General features: G+C 37.4%; 1 pseudogene across 1 annotated transcript in view; it reads right to left on the reverse strand.

Annotated features, from left to right (window-relative positions):
- OFCC1 (orofacial cleft 1 candidate 1 (pseudogene)) overlaps window positions 1-24,834 on the reverse strand; it is a 506,631-nt pseudogene that overhangs the window by 310,436 nt on the left and 171,361 nt on the right. The gene's annotated exons all lie outside the window — the stretch shown is intronic.

Here is a 24,834-nt window from a genome sequence, read left to right on the forward strand (position 1 = left end):
TCCATGGTGTGTATGTACCACATTTTCTTTATCCAGTCTATCATTGATGGGCATTTGGGTTGGTTCCAAGTCATTGCTATTGTGAACAGTGCTAAACTTATTCTTTTTATACACTAACTCATTCTATTAGAAATTAGAAGGTATGCTCCCAGTGAAGAGTCTGATCTCGAGAGTTTGATCCACTGCATATTTGAAAATCAGCATCCTACTAAAACACCTGTGGTTAATGTCCATTATTGGTGAGCCTCTGTCAGACTCTAGGCGAACATTTTGTATTGAAGACAGAATGTCATAGATCTCAAAATCACAAGCTTTGGAATTAGACAGTCTAGGAGACAAGAAGGTCTAACAATTATTGCTGGATAATGTTGGGCAAGTTGCCTAACCTCCCTGAGCTTCAGCTTCCTCAACTGAGGTTGCATATTATTTTTAACACAAAGGTTTGCTGTGGGGATTATTTAACATAGTGAATACAAAGTGCCTGGTATGTAGAAAGGGCTAAATAATGCAAGTTATAAGTATTAACTTACAACTTTTCCTTAAAACCATCACATAATCAAGATTGGTTTTAGGAATACAGTGAGACAACAAAAGAGTCACCTTCATAACACCATCCTCCCTGCTGTCCTAAAATTTCATAATCAGCAATACCTTTTTTAGGTTTGCAAGTATTTCAGTTCTTAAGAATTCATTGACACAAATAAAATGTCTCTTCTGTGAACCCTAGATAAAGAAATTGGCTAATTTGCATTCCAGAAATCTAAAAAAAAAAAATCTGTTCCCAAATATGCCTTTTGCTTGAAAGGAAATCTTGGGCTTTGAGGAAATGGGGTTCAACATAGCTTAGACTGTTAATGAAAATTATTGATTTATATTCCCTCCTGATCACTAATTAGAGTTAATGCAACTTAATGACCCAGCTTCTCTGGAAACTACTTATCAAGACAGAGACACCCTAAGGAGCTGCATATGCTCCTTCCAGACACCACGGTAAGAGAGGGTACTATTGAACAGAAACCAGAATGATGGGGCCATACATAGGGAATGCTGGTTAGTTTGATATAGAAAAGCCTATTTTATTTTAGTGTCAGTAATTGTTATAGTGAAAATCATTTCGACCTTATGAGGTACACAGATATGCACATATGTCTTTATGAAGCTCAATAAGGACTTAGCACTATAAGGAACCTCAAAGAATGTCTAGTCCAATTTCTCTTACAGAGGAAAAGAAGCAGAGGCGCAGAACAGCTAAACAATTGTTCAGGTTCACACAGCTGCTTAATAGCAAAGTCAAGAGTTCTAGTTCAAGTTTCCTGATGTTCTCTGTATCATGTTCCTATGTTGATTTTTCTTTAAAGACTCCCTATGTTGAAATAAATGCCTGTGGTTCCCAATCAGGGATTTGGATTGTGAACATCCAGGAATTCAGGGCGGACATGACAGGAAACTCGGCTCTGTCTGACATGCCCAGGTTATATCCTAATGATTTTCTGATAATCGTTTATTTTCTTTATGTCTTTCTCCTACCGAGCTATGTGAAGAGTCAGGGTAATAAGCTTCTTGTTAACTCAAGCTGTACTCTGTAGTGATGCCCTAATGTCCCGTAAGAGTTAATGCTCCTGGCTGGGCACAGTGGCTCAAGCCTGTAATCCCAGCACTTTGGGAAGCCGAGAGGGGTGGATCACGAGGTCAGGAGATCGAGACCATCCTGGCTAACACGGCAAAACCCCGTCTCTACTAAAAATACAAAAAAAAATTAGCCGGGCGTGGTGGCGGGGTCCCAGCTGCTTGGGAGGCTGAGGCAGGAGAATGGCGTGAACCTAGGAGGTGGAGCTTGCAGTGAGCCGAGATCGCACCACTGCACTCCAGTCTGGGCGACAGAGAAAGACTCTATCTCAAAAAAAAAAAAAAAAAAAAAAAAAGTTAATGCTCCTAATCCCTCTCCTTGCTGCGTTTTCTTGGAACTGTGCACTGTGAGAAAACGTTTTCTGCAAGCACATGTTTGCATCCTCTTAACCAGCTCCTCCTCAGAGGGGATCCTCCTACACCAGAGCTCCTGGAGAACGTTCCATGGGAGTCCCAAGGGCCAAAGCTGGGGTTCCCTAGCTGTGGAGGGGGAGGCAGCCCTTCATTAGCAGAGCCTTCTCTTCTGGCCACCTGCAGGGTATCTGGCTCTTCCTGACTACCATCTCAGCAGGTTCTCAATGTATATTGAGCCCTCATCTTCACCATTATCACAGTGTTCCCCTCCTGACCAACCTTATTACCACCTCTCTGTCACAAGCTAAAGATAAAACTAAATTATAATTGCGCTAGCCTTCATAACAGCATGACCGTCCTGCCTGGTTTGAAACAACTTACGTCAGAAAATAGGGCCAAAGAGGAGCAAGTGTACACAGATAAGAAGGGAGGAGAAACATTGGTATGCATTTTATACAGGGGCCACTGATGTGGACACCATGTGGGGGACAAAGTAGTTATTTGCCTAAGAGCTTGTGCAAGAAATGCACACGCAAACCCACACACACACACACCACCAACACCACCACCACCACTACGAGACATTCCTCATTACATAATCTTAAAGACCAAAGACAGTATTACTTGATATGATCAGCATAATCTCATATAGAAGAATATTGAATCATTACTTCCAAAATTTGAAACAACTCTCATAATTTGAATGATATCCTTTAAAAAGAAAAAACAGCAAAACAAAACTTTTTTCATGCACACCACTAAGAAAAGCATGGGAGCTTAGGGTCATCTATATGCATAATACTGATTTCAAATGCATGCCCTTGGGAAATTCCCCTAGTCCTTTGGAGCAGGTTCTCCAAGAAATTCTGTTCCCTTTTCTAGTCATTCCTTCACAAGCTTCATAAGTGGAATGACAGTCCTCCTAAATTAAGTACTATATACTTCAGGCTAATTTTATGTTTTTTATGACAATAGCAGGGCAGTCTTAGCAGCCTGTTATTTTGTCAGCTTTCTCATTTAGCAAAGCAGCTTCAATTTATTAACAGGGAGGAGTGTGCATGAATCAATATGTTTCATTGGGCAATGTGTCATTTGTTAATCGGATATTGATGAGATTATTGACGCACAGCTAATTAATCTCAAGCGCAGTGCTAGCCTTCATATGTTTCCTTAATTATGTCCTTCATCTTAGTCTCCCGGCCATAGCACCCAGGCTCGGAACTGCAGACAGTGAGTGAGGTAAGCTGTCAGAGGTTCTTTTCACACGTTTACAATCCCTTGGCAGTGAAATTATTTTCTTGGTTGTAAATAGGTATCAGAGAGATATTTAATAAAATTTGGCAGCAGATTGATATTGATTGGTGTGGACTTGCTTCAAATCCAGCAGCCACAGAGTTTTACCTCAGAAGGAGACTATTAAAAAAGAGAATGCTTAATTGGAATTAAACAATTGCATGAGTCAGTTGCCATCTGCCCTCTGGAATTTAAAAATAGTTCTTCTACAGACATCATTCACACGTCCTCAGTTGAATATTTCAGATAATTTTTGCTTTATTTTGTTTTTTTACTTAAACTCTTTATCACCACTTTTCTTAGCCATGGACAGTATATTCATGGGAATAGAAAATTCAGGACCCAAACCTCTGATAGGTTTCAAAAATTGATACAGTCATAATTAAGTAACATGGTTACAATTCCACTGCCTATACCTCTAAGTCCATTAAGCCAACAACAACCATTTTTTTTTTTTTTTTTTTTTTTTTAGAGGGAGTCTCGCTCTGTCGCCCAGGCTGGAGTCCAGTGGCACGATGTCGGCTCACTGCAAGCTCCGCCTCCCGAGTTCTTGCCGTTCTCCTGCCTCAGCCTCCCAAGTAGCTGGGACTATAGGCGCCCACCACCATGCTCGGCTAATTTTTTGTATTTTTAGTAGAGACGGGGTTTCACCATGTTAGCCAGGATGGTCTCGATCTCCTGACCTCGTGATCCGCCCACCTCGGCTTCCCAAAGTGCTGGGATTACAGGCGTGAGCCACCGCGCCGGGCCAACAAAGTCTACTTTCCCATCTGCTTCAAGTCTTCCTGGACTTCTCAAAGTATAAAGCACAAGTTCTAGCCCTGTTCATTAGCTCTGTCACCCTTCTATATGTGACAATCGTTCTGAGCCTTAATTTACTCATCTGTAAAATGGGGCCAGTGATAGCTGACTTGATTAACTCTCAGGATTGCTGTGAGGATATGTACTTGTGTGAAAATACTTAGGATGTCTAGTATGCTATCTGATTACTAGACGTTATTTGTGTTGGTATAAATATTATTTATCAGAGTTCCAGAGTTTATTTCAAACCGGTTAAAGCAAAGTACTAGCCTGTTATAATTTTTAGCTTATTACTATAATTAGCCTGTTACTGTATTTATGTCCATTTATTAATTCTTTACATAAGGTTACATGGCATAGTGTAGCAAAAAGTGAGTACAGCAAGCTCCTTTAGCACTTCAACAAGTCTGATTTAAAATGTAATTTCCTAGAAGTATGGATTTTAATAAGAGGCCCTCTTGAAATGTTTCAATATGTATCCTTGTAAAGCCTCCTTGTAAAGAAAAGGGTATTTAAACAATCAGCGTTTTGAATCCGGATCTAGACTGAAAGGCAATACGTGAATTTGCCAGCTACTGTTTCCTCATAGGGAACATTAGACAGTGACCCCTTTTTTCTTCCTAACTTTAGACTACTGTTGAGTCTAACAGGAACAATTTCAATACATACATGATTGTTTGACCAAAAAAAGTTTCTCTGTCTCCATGGTGTGGGTATACATGGGAGGATTAAGATGATAAAAAAATAATTTAAGAGATGAAGATTAAGAAAACAGAAAAGGAATAGAATGAGAAAGACATGACCCAATGAAAGTTGTCCAAAAATTCCCGTTCTTATAGCACTGCACTGGGGAGATGTGTAAGGACGTTAAGGGTTTCATTCAGGGCAGCAAGTTCTTCACTAAATATTGCTCTTTTATTCTGCAATTAGAAACTCTGCAGAGGGAACTAAATGACTATCAGGACATCACTCATATGTTCTTCTCTCCAGCACAGGGCCCTGCACATAGTAGGTGTTCAATTTTTTAAAAATTGATTGTGTCTATCTGGACATCTGGGGAAATATTGTTGCTCAGGAAATGAAATGGTCAGTGTTACTAAAAGCAATCTTGGGGTGACTTCAGGTGTTTTACTCCATGTCATTTACGTAGATCAGGGGAGAGAAGAGAGATGTCATCAGTAGCGTCATGAATATAGCTTTAATATCATTGTGTTAACTTGAACTTCTCTCCAGAAGGCCAATCAGATACCCTGTTAAATGTTAATGTTTCCTAAGCCTCATGGGCATGCCACCATGGTCTGCTCTTCCCACTCCACACTCCCAAGAGTGGCATTATTCACACCCTAGCTTCAAATTCCATCTATATGTTGATGACACTCAACCTTACTTCCAGACAATTAGCCGGGCATGGTGGCAGGTGCCTGTAATCCCAGCTACTTGAGAAGCTGAGGCAGGAGAATCGCTTCAACCCTGGAGGTGGAGGTTGCAGTGAGCCTAGATCACGCCAATGCACTCCAGCCTGGGCAACAAGAGTGAATCTCCATCTCAAACAAAACAAAACAAAACGAAAAACCACAAAAACTTGTCTATGAAATACCAAACCCATGTTTCTATCTTCCTCTAGAAAATTTCCACTTAAATTTCCTATAAGCAGCACAGAATCTTTCTCACTCACCTTTTTTTTTTTTTCTTTCTAGCAGTCAGGCCCCTCAGCTGCAGGTCTTCTGGAGTTTGCTGGAGGTCCACTCCAGACGCTGTTTGCCTGGATATCACCAGCGGAGGCCGCAGAACAGCAAATTTTGCTGCCTAATCCTTCCTCTGGAATCTTCCTCCCAGAGGTGCACCTGCCTGTATGAGGCATCTGTCGGTCCCTACTGGGAGGTGTTTTCCAGTCAGGCTACAAAGGGGTCAGGGACCCACTTGCAGAGGCAATCTGTCCGTTCTCAGAGCTTGAATGCCATTCTGGGAGAATGACTGCTCTCTTCAGAGCTGTCAGACAGGGACATTTAAGTCTGCAGAAGTTGTCTGCTGCCTTTTGTTCAGCTATGCCCTGCCCACCTTTTTTTCTTTTCTTTTTTTGAGATGGAGTCTCACTCTGTTGCCTGGGCTGGAGTGCAGTGGCACTATCTCAGCTCACTACAACCTCTGCCTCCCAGATGCAGGCAATTCTCCCACCTCAGCCTCCCAAGTAGCTGGGATTACACACCTGCGCCAACACACCTGGCTAATTTTGTATTTTTAGAAGAGAAGGGATTTCACCATGTTGATCAGGCTGACCTCGAACTCCTGATCTCAAGTGATCCATCCGCCTCAGCCTCCCAAACTTCTCACTCATCTTTAATCAAACACCAATTCCTACCACTTTGACATCCTAACTCTCTATCAAACCCTCTCCCTTTTTCCTCGCCTTGGTCAATGACCTGTGTCATTTTCCCCATCCCCTTCATGCTGTCTGGCCTGGAATGCTCACCATCAGAACCAAGCCTACTTGTTCTCTGGTCTCAGTGTAATGTCACTTCCTCTGGTACATACTCCAAAACCCCACCCACAAGTCTGGGTTCTATACAAAGGTACTCTCGTATCATCCCAAGCTAATCGTATCATACAACTTTTATAAAAACCTGTTTATTTGTCTAGAGCCTTTAGCTGCAGTTTCCTTGAGAAAAGGAACTGTGTACTTGCTGTTCTTCCCGTTCACTATTCTATGTCCAAGCCTAGCAGAGTTCCTCGAATATACAGGTATTCATAAACGCTCACCAAATTAACTTCACTCTACTGGGATGTGCTCATTATCTTCCCACCAGATATATGTTCTTCCTTTAACTTCCTTCTATTTTGGTTAATATACTCAGCTGTCCAATCATAAACAACGCTTTTTAAAAATTTCTATTTTTCTCCCATTTAGTAGTTGGCTAGACCTTTGTACCAGGCAGGAAAATGGATTGTTAAATTCTCATGAAATATATTAGCCGGGCATGGTAGCACGGACCTGCAGTCCCAGCTACTTCGGAGGCTGAGGTGGGAGGACCACTTGAGCTCAGCAGGTGGAGGTTGCAGTGAGCTGAGATCATATCACTGCACTCCAGCCTCGGTGACAGGGAGAGACTGTATCTCAAAGAAAAAGAGAAAAATTAAATTACACAAACTTAAAATTAAATAAATTAGATTAAAAAGGCATTAAATGGTTAAAACTCATCACCTCCTAATTATTTTACTCCAGTTTACTATTACCTATGCGCTTGAGATCATCCTGCCCCATTGTGTCTGGTGGAAATACTATATAATGGCATGCGGCTGTGTGTTCAGTAGCGACAGTGTGTCTGTAGCTTGAAATCGAACATGGTGACAATGTTTACACCATAAAAAATCAACAAATGCTACAAACCTGCAATTTACCTTTTCTTTTGGAGAACCTGTTGTAAAGCATTTAGACCAGCACTCTCCCACCCTCACTGATTGTGATACCTGGCCTGGCCTCGTGGCCCCTGGTTACACAGTGGGCCCACCACCTCTGCCTTCCCCTCAAATTAATTCTCCACACTTCTGCAGAAACACTTTTCCTACAACATAAATATGATCAGGTCACTCCTCTACTTAAAAACTTACACTCCTGCTCAGCATCTACATAGCCAAGACCTCACTCCCTACTATGGTTTCTAAGGCCCTTCAACAGCCCAGCCCTGCCTCTCAAGCCTCCTTCCCACCACGCCCTTGACCATTCAAGGCTCTGGCTATGTTGTACCTCCTGCAGCTGTGACTCTTTAACCTCTTCTCATGCTGTTCCTGCTGCCTAGGCTGCACTCAACTACCTTGTGTGTTTGGCAAACTTCTGGACGTCATTTGAGTTTCAGTTCAAATACCTAATCCTTGCTAAAGTGTTGCCTGACTTCTTGTCACTGAAGAGTTCCTCTCCTGTGCCCTCACCATCATCATCCTCACACAGCAATCACAGTGCTTATAATGTTCCTGTATTTTGGGGTTTTCCTGTGTCTCCTCCACCTCACTGAGTCCTTCAAGGGCAGAGACAGTGTGCCTGTCATCAGGCATGTCATATGCTGAGTGTTATTGAAGTATTGGCTGAAAGAATAAATGAATGAATGTGTGGGAGTGAATGAGGCTACAACCACTCACTAATAAAATGAGTTTTTCAACCATGATGGTCATGGAGATGACAGTAATACCACAGTGGCCAAGACATTAGTGATTCCTTATGGTAGAGATCATCCAGGGACATCCCACAGGTCTACTGAGGTACAGGTTTTGCCCTCTTCCTATATCATGTTTTCATGGAGGTCAAACCAGGTTTAAATTAGCCACAAGAATCTGAAATAGAAAATAGAGTCATAGAATAGGATCTACCTTCTTAGGCATGTATACAATAAGAGAGTGTAATCATACTTGCTTTGTTCACTGACAACAGAAAATTTACAGCCAATTCTATTGTGGCTTCAGATTGTTTACTACAACGACCATTTCTTCTTTCATGACAATTGTGTCTCTTAAATCAACAGCAATATGACTGCTAACATAATTCAGATCCTCAGTGAATAACCCAATTCAGTGTACCTACAATAGTGCACCTGTTTGTTGTACACAAGTTGCCTCCTGCTAAGTTTTATTTCTTTCATCTGCTGATCTTATTCAGCAGATCAGCAGATATGATGCTATGATTAGCAGATTCTCTCTGCCAATCTAGGACTTGGACCTCACTTTCATTCCAAAAACCTTCCTCTTGTCAAGAGGTGTAGCCAATCTGTTAATTCTCTCCATGAAAAAAAAAAAAAAAGCGAATATCAGAAACTCCTAGTTTTCCTTTTGCAGTCTCACTGGTCAGTTGACAGATAATATAAAACATTAACAAGAAATGTATTCAGGAGATGCTCCTTAGGTATGCATTTTGGTTCATTCTGACCCCAGCAAGGATATCAAAGATGGCCCAGACAAAATCAGACTCGCGTAACTCCACTGCAGAGAATCTGAGACTGAACTCAAAGAAAAAGCAATCACAGATCTATTATCTCCAAGACTTTCCCAAACCCTAGTGAGATAATCCGTAGAAACCAGCTACAAATTCACCTGCAGGCTACTGATCATAGATCCTACAAGCAGGCCGTACCAGCCATTCTCAGCTAACTCTATGTAAGGTGGCTGATAATTACATGGTAATCTAGAAATGGCTGATGGTCAAGATGGGTCTAGTTCAGATCACAAATGACCTATTTACCATAATAGAGAGGAAACTGTGGTTATATGCTAGAATTCATACTTTCAAACAAGTAGAGGGAGATAAAATTTAAATAATGTAGCCAAGAATTGAACCAGATATAGATATACACATATAAAAGCAAACACACACTATTAACACTATTAACAGATGGTTATCTGCTTCATTCTAGTGTTCTAATAAGACCATAATATTGGAAAAAATTATAGTTTTTCTTCTAATACCAACATAGTATAACAAAACAAAGGAGAACAAGAACACATATTGTAGGTATTAGCAATCTAACTGGCAGCTGTAATATATGAATTAGGCCAATTTAGAAGGAGCTAGGCAGCTCCTTCTTTTTTTTTTTTTTTTTTTTTGCAGCTCAAATAACTCGTGAAAGATTCTAAGAAGTCTTCCTCATCACGAAAAGAATAATAATTTTTGTTAAACCAAGCCTAGACATCAATATAAATGATAACAAATGAAGAATGTTAGGATTTACTTAGAATGACATTAATAGAAACAAAAAGTGGGCCATAAATGTAATATTAAATTTTCTAGTAGCCACATTTGTAAAAGGATATTTTAAGTTAAAAATAATTTTAATAATATATTTTATTTAACTCAATATTTCAAAATCATTTAAGCAGGTAATCAACATAAAAAATTAACAAGCTGTTTAATATTCTTATTTTGTATGAAATCTCCAAAACCAGGTATGTATTTTACACTTAGATCATATATTAGTTTTCATTGAAAATATTGAGCTGTATTTATTTAGTTCCAGCTTCATTGAGATATAACTGACAAAAATTATATATATTCAAAGTGTAGAATGTGATGACTTGTACATATACACTGCAAAACGATTACCACAATGAAATTAATTAACACATCCATCACCACACTTGCTACCAATGTGTGTGTGTGTGTGTGTGTGTGTGTGTGTGGTATGTGTATATGGTGAGATCGCTTAAGAGATACCCTCTTAGCAAATTTCAAGTGAACAATACAAAATTATTAGCTAGTCACCATGCTGTACATTAGATCTTCAGAACATTCATCTTATAACTGAAAATTTATACCCTTTAACCATTTTCTTCACCTCTCAATAAACTGTATTTAGATTTCATGAAATTTAAAGTTGAAAACGTAAATTCACATAACCATGTTTTTCCAATAATCTTACAAGTTTTTAGTAACTAAATCAAATACCAAAAAATCATTTTTCTACAGTTTTTATAACTAAATTAACAAAACTGATTCCTCTCTTTTGGAAAGACTTATTTGTCTTGCATCAGAAGCATATCAGTTTCAGAATCATGTCTGTCCAAGTTGAGCAAATTCACTAACTCTTGTGTCAACTCAGTATTATTAACATTGACTTCAAAAATGTATTGCATAAACTGAAATGCAATTTTAAATTTGTCAATACCAACAAAGCGTTCTACAATTTTCTTATAGTTTATTTAGCCAATTTACACAATGCTGTTGATTACAATTAAAATATTCTGCATATTGATTTATGTTAGAAAAAAAGTATAAAATCATTTTTACTGACCATGAAGTCGTTATTATTGATTTCAACGTAAATTCTTAGACTTGCCTACTGAGATCACAAATAAGCTTTTCCTTTCTTAGAAGCTTTAGATATGGCTCATTTATATGCAATGTAGTTTGGTGAGAAAATATAAATCACATTGCCATTTTTGCTTTTTTAAAAATATTTGTGGGTATATAGTAGGTATATATATTTCTGGGGTACATGTATTTTTGCTTTTGATTTTTGATATTGAATACATTGAGCATTCTTTTTATTGGAGTTAACAGCACAGTAAGTCTTTGTAAAATTATTTCATGATTCCACCAATGAGCACCAGAAAAGAACACAAGATCATTAAATTCATTGCCTTCTGTCTCTTTCCAAAGTTGCACAAACTGGAGATAATCCCTGACATTTGCAAATCTATATGGAATGATTTTAGTAACCATATCCATGACAGTCTTCACAGAATCGATTTCAGAAATGTTTGCACAAATATACAGTGAAAGAAATAAGGGAAATAGTATTTTGCTTTAATATGCCAGCAAAATTTGATTTTTTATCAAATACAGTTAGAACACTGTCCATCATAATAAAAAAGCTAATATTTTAATATCTAGGTTAAATTCTTTGATAGATGTAAGAAGAAAAATATAAATTTTAAAAGCTATGAATTAACATTTATTTACAAATTTGGAAGTCCTTTGAGACAAAATGTAGCAAAGTATTGAAAGGGCAGTGTCTCATATCACACAACTCATCCAAAGCTAAAAAATAGTACTTGAAGTTTTTAAAATGTTGAATAAATTGGTCTTTAGTTAAGTCTTATATTCTACAGACAAATAATTATTTGGTAGCTTAACTGAAGACCTTTTACTTTGTATGAAATATTGCTTAGCCTTATCCTCATAATATTCTAACAACATTTCCATAACTAAAATAATAATATATTTTACTCTCACTCCAGCTAGAAGTGGGGTTTGTGGGTGGTGTTGTTGACAGAAAACTTCTTATCAAATTCGCTATATGCTTTCTGAATATGTCTCTTTATGTTTCCAACTTTGCCATCTTAAAAATTTGTTTATACAGCAAAGAAACCAGCTTCTCCAATTAGCTCTGCTGCAGCAAGTTACAATTGCCATTCTTGGTGAAACTGGTGACACACCTTCTTCTAATCTAGAAGACTAGATCAGTGATGTGTTTCTGTGAAACAGCCCACGTGCCCAAAAGGCTCACAATACAACAGTAATATCTTACACAATTCAGCCATTCACAAGAAATGTATTCCTACCAAACAACGAAGTTGTGTTTAGTGGAAAATAGTCTGCTCTACTTCCGATTTCAAAATTGAATTAAAATAAATTGCAATTAAATAAAACGTGAAATTCAATTCCTCAGTAGCACTAGCTACATTTCAAGTTCTCCATTCTCACAGGTGGCTGGTGGCTACCTACATATTAGATACCTAGAACCTTTGATGATTCAAGGTAGAAAGCAGGGAGGGGAAAAAAGGAAGAGCGGAAGGTAAGAGCCAGTTCTTGGTTTAAACACTAACTGTAGTTAGATTAAAACAAATGTCTTTACTCAAATACTCATTTAATGCAGACCTGGATAAGCTCAGAATATATACTAATGTATGCCATTTCAACAACCACAATTTAAAATAATTGTCAACTATCTTTTAGTTACGTATATAATAGTAGGAATAATTTATAATGTCAACATATTGAACACTGTCCATTTTTCCACAATAAAATTGGAAGTGCACATTTGAAACCCATATGAAAGGCACTAGTTCTTACACCAACTGGCCTACCAATCCTTTAGAGGTCTCACAGGAAGCTCAAAGGTGTTATTTCCAAAGTTAACTCATCATCTCTAAAAAATCACCCTGCTCCTCTTCATGTGCTCCTATATCCAGTATCTAGCACAGTGGCTGATACACATTAGAGCCTTCAACAAATCGCTGCTGAATGATTCAATAAGTGAACTTACTTGCATTCGTAAGCTGAAGTTCTTAAGTACTTATACAAGTTGATAAACTCAAATTTTATACGTTTTAAGTATATACAAAAAGTTACCTGTCATTTTAAATTTATAACGGAGGGAAAGGGAAAAGCTTATAAAAATAAATTCCACAGTAAAGTCAAGAAATCTGATACCAACAATTGCATACCACACTGAAACTGCAAGCCAATCAGATAGAGTTCTTCAACACCATTATCTTGGACTATCTATTGCCACAAAGATTAAATCATTGCTTACTTTTTTTGCATTTATCATATTTTACAGCGTAGTAAGAATAAGTGAGAAGGGACCTATGACCTCTACTTTTGAGATAATTGGCAGTGCTTGTTGAAATTTGGTTTCAAGTTTAAAAACAAAGACTGGATATCATTAATTCATGGAACTGATTATTTCATTCATACCGAGAACCTCCTCAATGTGATGGGTATAAAATGCCAGAAAAAAAAAAGGGAGAAAAAAGGGTTTCTTTTGAGAGTAATGAAATATTACCCTGTTCTTTTAACCCCATTTTCTGTTACAGTCGGCAACCAATGAAATGAGTACGGGCCAGTCTCAATGAACTGAACCACAAGTTGGATTTCTTTGACACATTAAAACTTCAACGTGCCTTCAACCATACTAAGGCATTAGATTTTCTCAAAACTTTTATGAAGAGTCTAGGACAGACATAGTTAACTTCTTCCATCTAACGGAGAAACAAAGACACAAGATGTCAGACATCAAATAAATCATGCAATTAGATGAACACAGTTTCAAAGAATTCAGATCTCTTCCCTGAAAGGCTAACACTCTGCTGGACCCCATTTATAGCAAAGCCTAATATTGACAGATTCTGTGGGGACAAGAGAAATTCTCACCCAAAGTAAAGAAAGTTGAGGACAAAATGTGAACCTAGGGAAAAAAAATGAGTTTGAGTTGCTTAGAAATAGTGACATGAGAAGGTGAAAAGCAGATCTCAGAAAGTCCAAAATAATTCTGTTGCTGGCAGCACTTTGGGACTTTTAAGCACCTAACAATATAGGAAGGGGAAGGAAAACGTGACGTGACCCAAATGAAACGATTTCACTTAATGAATTTGGACAAGCCATGTTTCCTCAAAGCATTCCATTAACCATGTTTTGTCCCATCGCTTATGTAAAAATATCGTATTATATAAGTGCCTACGTTTAGACATGTAGATAATTAAAATAGAGGTTTAATGTCCATTTGGTTTTACAAAGTTATGACATTTCCTATACAAAGTCAGGGGCTTATTTCCTCCCTAATTCATTTGGTAACTTGCCTTGATGGTAATATGAGTTGTGTGTTTTAAGATATTATTTGTTTAGCCTAGGGGTAATGTAAATTCTAAAATTTAACTCTAACGATCTGAATAATAACACACTATATTTATACATGGCCAACTTACTGCCATTTATATTTTGTTTTCTCTATACTTTTGACTAGAGTATTGGGGGAAAAATGCCCCAAGAAGAGACCTCCAACGAACAATTTTATGTGCACAATGACTACTACTGGCTTCCTACAAGTTTTTTCTCTGCATACCACTGGATACATTCTGTATACCCAACATTTGAAAGTAGTTTTCTATTTTACATTTTCTTAATTCTAATTAAACAAATCTTAATCTTGACTTTAATGGCTGCAATTATGATACTTCATTATGTTAAATGTTAGTTGCAACATAAGAATAAATTGTATAAACAGTTTAGCTGCAATTGCATGGTGTCTAACTGTACATTACTCATTAACAAGATGTGGGTAGCAGCAATTATAACATTTCCTCCTAATGTCCCCATTTATTGAGTCTCAGCAGCAAGCCCCCTTTCACATCGCACACTGATTGACGATAGCAGCTTTTGAGCTCATGGAGAACAGGCACTATAACCCGCTGTGTGCCTCCAACTCAAATCGATGAAAGTACACATTAGCTCTTAGCCTCACGGGCCGGAGTTCTTGAAGGTCAAAATAGCCATCAGCATCACTGTAGGGTATAAAAATCATTTCACAAACTGTGAACAAAAACAACACAACTTGCTTTGCAGTTTGATTATTGTTTATAGATACAGCAAGCCAAGAATTAAAGCATAGCCTTGGGGCAGCATAATTATTTACAGCTGAAGACTCATATCATTATTAGCGGTCTCCTAATTGCTTGAAGTTATATCAATGTTAGTTGATTTAACACATTTCTTATAACATATATGGAAATTGTTTCCTCTGCATATGGAGTGTCAGTTTATCTGGGAGATGGTTTCTTAATTTATCAAAGTTTTTTTTTCTTCTAATTGTTCTTTTTTTCTTTGAAGGAAGATTTTCCCTTAGCCATAAGCAGGGAGAAGAGTTGAAGCTGAGCTTTAATTTATCTACTGTATCTTAATGCTAGAAATACTAGGATCATTTTTGTTTGCTTGTTTTCATTAAAAATTGAATCCATAAAGCTACAACAATATCTTCCATTGGAAAATGTATCAAACTTTCCTCCAGATGGTTCATACACACCTTTTCTTCTTAGGTACCTAACCTGAAATTTTAACATTAAGAGCACAACCACGTAGCTCATAAAAGTGCTAGTGATGTTGAAGTCATGAAAATCTTCATACATTGTAAAATGTCAAATCTTGATCCATTGGTCATATATTTTATATATGCATAAGGAAGATAAAGCTAAATATGCAGCTATAATATAGATGAAAACTTACAGTAATATTGAAGAAGAAAATTAAAGAGAAACATTCAGGTAATACTGTTGTGGGTAGAGTTTGGAATTTGTAAGGGTAAAAATGAACTCCTATTTTTTACGGTATTCTCTACCTGGATGAAATTATCCTTTTTCTGTAATATATTTTCTACCTATAGGTGGCGACACTTGTACTGTTTCCTTTTGAACTGTTCTTTGTGCCTGGGAACAAATGGACTGCTGCTAGGGGAAGACAAGAATTGAACTTAGAGACCATGGTGTCAAAGCCTTTCAAGGCTAGAAAAGATCTTAGGACCAAGTAGTCAATTCCTGCAACATACGATATCTGAGAAATAAGGCCCCAAGAGACTCAGCTAAATGCCCAAGATCACACTACCAGTTAGTGATAGACCTGGAAAAATAAAGAAACTAGATTCAGAAATAATAACCTGAGACAATCCGTAAACATAAAAAATAAACTCTTAAGCAAAACATTTGCAAAGTATCACGTGGAACTCTATCTCCACAAAGTGGACTTGGAATCGTTCCGATAAATTATGTGTATTTAAACCTAAATCCTAGCGTTCATTTTTTTTTCTTCCTTCACAATAAATGGCCCTCCAAAGTATTATGATAAAAGAACTAAGGTCTCTTATTTGAGAAAATGTAATGTTTATTAAAATGCTTCCCAAAGGGAAATATCAATTTAATGGCTAATGTATGTTTTTACAAAATTGATCACCACTTGCAGATATGAAACTGGAGAATATCTGAGAAAATTGCTAATGGGGCCTATTGTTTAGAAGTACGCCAAAGCAAATACCAAAGGCTTTGATTCTGGGTTACAAAGGTCACCCAGAAATCTTATGAAATTTAAGCTGTGATTGTTAACCTGCTAAAAGTTACCACGTTACTTAACACTTGTGATCTTATCTAAGAGACATATGGTATAAATATTTCCAAACATTTCTAAGAACAATTTTGTTTTATCAAAGGGAATATTATTTAACAATTCTCTTTACTTTATGGGCCTTTAGCAAAACTCTTGCTGCTGCCTGGAAGAAACAGAAAACCTGAAAATGGTATTTTAGATTAATTTAATTTAGATTTCCTTTGAACAAATTACAGTCTCTACAGCAACCCTGGTGGATTGCGTCTGGAATCTGAAGCAGCCTTGGTCCCAGGCATCCCATGAACACCGTTCTGTAAAAATGGAAAGAACTGATGAGGTGCTGAGCGACTAGCAGAAACTTCTTATCACTGTGGGTGATGTTTAGTTCTGGAGCCATCGTCTTTCCTAAGAATTCAACAATGGCTTCCCTTCTCCAGACAGAGATTACTTTAAACAGAGAATGGTAAATCACGCATGGAAAGGTCATTTTACATTGAATTTTGTGAAGTATGCCTTGATATATATTTTCTGTTTCTTACATACTTTTCTTCTTGGTTTATTTTATCTATATTTAGAAAGATATAAAACAATCAAAATTACTTAGATGGAGAAATAAAAGCTGTAAGGCAAATTAAAGCTTATAATTTAGTATTCTCACTAAGATATCACGTTAAAATATTTTTCTTCTCAAAGGTATATCCATATTTTTCCCAGACTGAAAAATTGATTTTCTTTCTTTCGTTTTTCAGAGCCACCCAGCTTCATTTTACTTTTTAAAAATGTTTTTAGTGCCACCTTTCACTTGTATAAATTACGCATCTCAACTTTTACCTTTAGGTTTGGGGTAAAATAACTGCTTTTTGTTTGCCATTGGCTAGGGTCTTTGCTTTATACCACTTGATTCATAGTAGATACTAAACACGTTCATATTTTTTCCATGTCATATACTAAATAGGTGCAGTATAATGTTACCTCATTTTCTCACCTATCAGACTTATTATCCCACAAAAATCTTACGTTAAAAAAATCTCTTAACTGCAATAATGGTTTGATTGTGGTAACTACTGAGGGATTGAAAAACTACTGTTCTTTCGGCCCCATCTTTCATAAAAATGTCTCATTTTAGGAAACATGGGTGTAGTCAAGGTAGAAAAAAAATTTCCTTGTGGTCTATTGCATGGAATCCAATTCTTAAGACATATAAGATAAATATTTACTTTTTTAACTGTGTTGAAATAACTATCATCAAATAGTGGTTGCAAAAAATTGCAGTGTATACCTCATGTTCAAATAAAGTCCAGGTTTTGCATTTCAATCCATCTCTCCTGCCTCAGTGCTCCCTTTCAAAGGGACCTGAGACCCAGTGCAGAAGTGGGTGGGGAAGGCTGAGCCCAGCAGGGTGAGAACGATGAGGTCTCTGTAGGTTACAACATCTGCTGGGCAGATAACATCTGCAGATAATGACAGGGCAGGGGTGAGGGGTAGAAAGGCCAAGCTATGCAAAAGCGGCAGAGCATGGGGGAGGGAGGGGAGCTGTTGCAAGAGTTCCTGGCATCCACTATTTCCCACTGAATCATTAATCGGCAGCCTCACCATTTAACCTGTGTGGATCGCAGAGCGGCATGGTGCCCTCGACAAATGGATATTGTTTAACTTCTCTTTTCACTCGAAGAAAAACAAGGACAGTGATTGCAATGACACTGGATGTTTGCGCTGTTTGATAAGTGATGACTAACACGTCTACTACTTTTAACAATTTTTGCTTTCCTCTCCTAACTGGAGCTATGTGGCACTGAAGTGAGAGAAAGCTAATACAGTAAATGGAAACCGCTGTCAGTAGGAACCAGATTAGTCAATCCTTATAGCAAAAGTGAATTTCAGATAACAGCTCAAGCATGACCACTCTGATCACAGCCTCCTGTTTATGTATACAGAGGAACAATGAAGTGCCCTGGCAATTACTGCAAATACATTCCTCAAGCTTTCAGGCGATGCCAAGCTTAAAATTGTGGTCAACTGAAGTGGCAGAAGCAGTATCAACTCGGAATTCATTGTGGCAATTGTAATTAAGTCACGTATTTTGTCTCTCTCTATCTCTCTTCATGCTAAATGTATAGATATTTAAACCACTGTGGACATACAAAACTATAAGACTGCAATTCTCTCTGGTAGAATGTTTTCACTTCTGCTCATGGAATTGAACCATGAAGAGGGAATAAAGTGACAAACTCTCTTATCCATATAGGGACATTGCATAAAACCATGCTAATCTTTCCAAAGGTTTTATTTGTTACTTAAAATGTTTGCAAACCTACAATTGACAAAAGTAAAAAAGCAGAATTCATGCACAAATAAGAAAAAAAGTTCATTAGTAATAACGGCAAATTAAGATAGCAACGGATACCTTTTTCACCTAATAACTTTAAAAAGGTTCAAGATTATGCCCAGTGCCCATACTGTTGTGGAAAATCAGGGTTAGTTTATTAACAATCATAAGAAGCATTAGGAAGCTGTGGCTTCAAGCTGCCTGGCTTCATATCTTACCTGCTGGGTAACCTTGGGCAAATTACTTAACCTCACAGCACTTCAGTTTCCTGAACAGAAAATGAGGACAATGATTCTATCCACTCCGCAGTGCCATTGTGAGGACTAAATTTTAAAATGCAGGTAAAGTATTTATCCATGTGCCTGCCATTTGACATAAACCAGCTATTATGTCTATTAACAGTGTGTTACATCTTGTAGGCATTACATCACTGGATTCTCAAGCATAACTGTGTTATGGTTGCAACTACATCAGAATGTGCCTATGACTATAAGCAAAGATTGGAAGAAAAATCATGTAATTAAAAATCATCAAGGCCAGGCCCAGTGGTTCACGCCTGTAATCCCTGCACAGGGAGGCGAGTGGATCACCTGAGGTCAGGAGTTGGAGACCAGCCTGGCCAACATGGTAAAACCCCGTCTCTACTAAAAATATGAAAATTAGTTGGGCGTGGTGGTGCACACCTGAAATCCCAGCTACTCGGGAGGCTGAGGCAGGAGAATCACTTGAACCCAGGAGGTGGAGGTTGCAGTGAGCCAAGATTGTGCCATTGCACTCCAGCCTGGGCGACAAGAGCGAAACTCTGTCTCAAAAAAAAAAAAAAAAAAAAAAAAAAAAATCATCAACATATGATGAGACAATTATTTTTTTTCAAAAATTCCTTTACATCAATATATTGCTTACAAAAAGGAGACAAAGTATATGTGCAATTATCTTTGCGAAACATTTACTGTATAAACTTTATTTCCTGATAGACTAATTAAAAAGGAGGGGAAATAAATAGCTTTAGAGATAAATAACCTAATAAATTAAGTCTTATCTAAAGCACCCTAAGCACTCTTCCCCTCAAAGAAATATATATATATGTGTATATATATGTATATATAAACACATATATATGTGTATATATATACACATATATGTGTATATATATACACATATATATATATGTATAGCCAGTTACAGGCTTGATCTGGTTAACAAATTCAATTTTTAAGGAGCAAATATCTTTTGGCAGATCTTTCCTACTAGTCATTCACAAGTTAGTATGAATTATTTAATCTGACAGGCCCATATCCAGCTGAGATCAAAGGCACTCAGTTGACAACATTTTTGATCAAGAAATAAAAGAAGAATTTCTTATAAATTCTTGGAATTTGAAGGGCGATAGTGTTGTTTAAAAACAAACAAACAGTGAGGAATTTTGAACAGCCAGAAGCCTTTATATATGCTATGGTACTGTTTGAGCATGTCATCGTATACACAAACCTCTTACCAACAGAAATATAAAAATAAATAAATGCTTCCACTCTCAGTGACCCTCTTCAACAATTATCTTCCCTCTAACTAGTAACACTCTCTGATATCATACACTCTTCATGGATTTCCCTAAAAATCTTTTCTTCAAAAGCAGTGAAGGGCCAGACGCAGTGGCTCATGCCTGTAATCCCAGCACTTTGGGATCTTCGAGGGTGGATCACGAGGTCTGGAGATCGAGACCATCCTGGCTAACACGGTGAAACACTGTCTCTACTAAAAATACAAAAAGTTAGCTGGGCGTGGTGGTGGGCACCTGTAGTCCCAGCTACTCTGGAGGCTGAGGCAGGAGAACAGTGTGAACCCGGGAGGAGGAGCTTGCAGTGAGCCGAGATTGTGCCACTGCACTCCAGCTGGGCCACAGAGCAAGACTCTGTCTCAAAAAAAAAAAGGGCTAAGGAACTCCTCTATCAGGCAGGATTGAGAGAGGTTAGAAGGACAGTCAGTGCATGGTTCCTGACCCCGGAATCAACCATATGCATTCATCCCAGAACTTCTGCAGATGGACCATGAGGGAGGCTAACATGACAACTTTTAAAATTTTTTTTGCCATCTAATGTTGAATAACTAATATTAGCATCAGTCCAGGCTAGTTACATTTTTTAAATACATAAACATGGAGAGTTTATTGGGGTCAAGCTTAAGGGCTGCAACCTGGGAGCACTGATTTAAGTTGCCCTGAATCTATGCTCCCAAAGCCAGTTACTTTTTTCCCAACTAAACATTGTTCTCCACTTTATAGCTTCTTGAATTATCAATGGCTGATATTTCTAAACTAATTTCCACATGTAAAGAAAAGTGAAAGAGTTTGAAAAGCTATTAAGATTTCTGATTACGGAAAATACCCATAAGTAATGTTCCCAAAGTAATAAACTCTTGAAAAATATGGAGAGACTCTTGTTAAGAACACCACAAGAGGGGAAATTAGAAATAGGGAGGTGAAGCTTACAAACCCATCCCAAAGGAGGCTGCCTGTGCAAGTCGCTTCTCCTGACCACCACGTTTTCTATGTAGGCATTTTCTGTCAGTACATTTACTTCTCAAAAGTTTTTGCTTGTTTCTCCTCTGATATACATAGAAATTTAGCTGTCTGTGGTAATAAATATCATCTCTGTCATCCACAGCCATCAATAATCATAGGAATTTGTTTTCATTTCATATGGTTGTGATGAGCTTTCAAATTTAGCTCCAAGCACGCTTCTCTTTTAAGCTAGATTCAGATGCTGGAAGACAATAATAACCACTAACTATTACTTTAACAATATCTGAGACATAGCGATTAGCCCACTAGCTTACTAGTTATCAAACACTGTACCATCTAAGCCAGAGCTTTTCATCTTCATTCAATATCCCACCACTCTACTCAGCTTCACCAAACATATATAACATCATAATCTCATCTTTCCAGCCGTAAAACCAGTGTTTTTGGATTTGCCACTGTCTCTCATTTTGACAGCCATGTGTTGACCACATGTTAATTATAGATTTAAAAATTGTTTCAATCTTTCCATATTCATCTCTTATTATTTCTTTACTTTTAGCTAATTGGCACTAACTCTCCAATGATCTGCTAAAATACTACCTCCCACTCTCTCTGGATGTCTTTCCTTCAGGTCTGCTTGCTACCCCCGTGTGTACGTCTGTGCAGATGAAGCCTATTGCTACCTCTGTTATCCCCCAGAGTAAAGAGGAAGAACTTTGTTTCATTGGTTCTCATGTCTCTAGCACAGTAAATAAATGTGTTTCTCAATAAATGTTTGGTAATTTTTCATTCAGGTGCTCAATTACTGAATAAAAGAAAATCTGCCCCCCCCCCACTTTATTTCTTGGAGAACCTCAATGTACTAACTAGTTCTCAAGTGTCCTGAAAAATTACTGTGGACGTAGCTTTGAGAGTAATGGAGTTAGAGTCCTTTAGGAACAGGGAGAATCTGCTAAAGAACTATGCCTGACTGGGGTGGTTACACTAAAATTGTATTTGGAGTAGAGAAGAGTTTCATATGAGTGGCAAAGAACACATACCATGCTGTTTCACTTATATAATGCCCCTACAACCTTTCATCCACTCTTTGTGTTTCTTATTACATTTAAACATGTTATCATGCTTTTGCTCCCCTCATCTTCTCCTGACTTGCACCTCACACCTGGCATGTTCCACATGCCCCACTTAGTCAAGTTCTTTTGTTTCCATCACTCAAACAACTTCTGAAATCCTATTTCCTCTATTAAGCTTCTGACTAATTAGAAAAAAGCTAGCAATTTCCCCTTAAAGGGCTGTTCCCACAACTCCCTCTCCACATGACTCTGTCCTGGGAGCCCTGATTCCTCCGGAAACTGATTCATTCCTCTGAAGATGTCTGCTTTATCTAGAGGGTTGTTTTTATCCAAAAAGGTAAGTTCAAAGAATAGAGGGAACTTTCAAAAGTACCTTGAAATTTTCCCTGGAAAAATGGGGCCTTAATAAATGCTTTAAGTGAAAATGAGATGTTACAACTCTCAAATTGAAAATTTCTTTGACTAATGCTTACCTAGAGTCAATGATTCAATAACATAGTTTTTCAGATGAAACACTCCTGATGTTTTCATAAGATATTCCTGTTGATAAGGCAGAATTAGTAGTTAACTCTCTTCTTAGTAACATTGTCTAATGCCATTAATTTGTAAAGAACAGAGATATCTGGAACAACAGAGGTTAATCTACTGAATTAGGAAGTTTCGTTCTCCTAAAATATGTATTTCTTACTCATATTATACAAATCAGGAGACTAGGACAGATAATCCAAATCAAAAATTTTACATGTGATCTCACATCAAATCCCAAAACAAAAGCTCATACCCCTCAGGCTTTCAGACTTTCAACTTGGATACATCATCTCATCTCAAAGAAGTACACTAGGGTTAAATGCAGGAGGAAGAACTCATATAGGTCTTATAATGTCTCCTTTCTATTTTTTGATTTCTGAAGTTGGAATCACCCAGCATCAATACAGCTATCAAGACTCTAAAGTTGTAGGGCATTTTGTCTGTTCAAAACACAATTGGATCCATAAAAAAGACATAGTTTATTTCAATGTCTTTTCAGCACCTTTCCTGAGGACACACCTTTTTTTAACAAGATGCCATGATTCTGTACATCTACAAATGCAAACCACTGACATGCATTGATACGCTGTATGAATGCTGCTTTGATCCTCTGCAAAGTGTTAAGAGTAACCAGAAAGCAAAAGGCAAAATGAATGGAGGAAAGCCCTGAGGAGCAGTGTTTTATAAATCAGAATTTCCATGCAATTTATAGATGAGTTCACTGGGTACCATGTTAGAATATGAATGCAGAGCAAAGAATCACCATAATTTGTAATTTTTATACCTGAAGTGTGCTATATAAATCATTCATCTGAATGTTAAATGTTGATAACTCCTACCCATTTTTGCATAATAAGGCATAAACTCCCCTCATTTAAGCTACTCCTTAATCATGTATTACGTGATATTTTTGCAATTGTATTTCAGGCCACAGGATAAGTACAATGAAGTATATTAGTACATCAAACACCAGTTCTACAGTTTCCAAAAAAACCTAAGTGTCAATGAAAGAGCAGTCACTGGCATTTGACATCATCTGATTCTAAAAGTAAAATGTCCATCCTTCAAAGACATTGGATTATGTTGAATTAGTGGGGTTTTTGTTTGTTTTCTACCAGCCATGGTAACTTTTTATATTGCTGTTTCAGAAATTTATGAAGTAGATATCAGTGTGAGTTGAAATCTTGGTGAATTCAATTGATACTGATATCTACTTCATTTAACCTATGTTAACATTACCCACCTTTTTGCTCCACTTTTTTTTTGATGAAAAGCATATAATGAAGTGAATTCAAATTTGTATATCCAGTTATAATAATAATTGCTAACATTTAAAAAGAATAGGCTATTTGGCATATACAATGTTAAGCAGATTATCTCATTACATCCTCTGAACATCCCTATAAGATAAACACTATCATCAGCCTCATTTTAGAGATTGGAGAAGCAAGACTTAGAATAGGGGAGTTACTTGACCTAGGTAAGCTAGCAGCAGGAAAAGACAGAACTACTTGCATTTATACAATTCTACCTACCAACCCATACTTTTTTGCCCCTACATTCTGTCACCTTCACGGTTACACTTTAAGAAAGTCGGTAAAAGGCTTGCTTATTCAACACACCATGCAAATAAACAATATATCAAGAATAAAGAAGCACAGTATGATGTTACAAGTACAGGCCCTAAAGCTTGGCTTCAAAAAGAAAAAAAAAAAAAAAAAAGCCTTTACTACTTAGGAGCTTGGTGACTTTCAGGCAAGTTATGAAGCCCCTCTGTACCTTAGTTTCTTCATTTATAAAGTTCAACAATATTAGTACCTCCCTGTTATAATGGTTAAGGATTAAATTAGTTAATATATATAAAGCACCCAGAACAAGGATCTGTACATAATAGGCGCTCAATTCATCATTTATCTTTTACCTCATAGACAGAAGCTGTCTTAGTTTGTGTTGTTATAACAAA

The sequence above is a fragment of the Homo sapiens genome, chromosome 6 (assembly GCF_000001405.40).
Source record: "Homo sapiens chromosome 6, GRCh38.p14 Primary Assembly".
Lineage (NCBI taxonomy): Eukaryota > Metazoa > Chordata > Mammalia > Primates > Hominidae > Homo > Homo sapiens.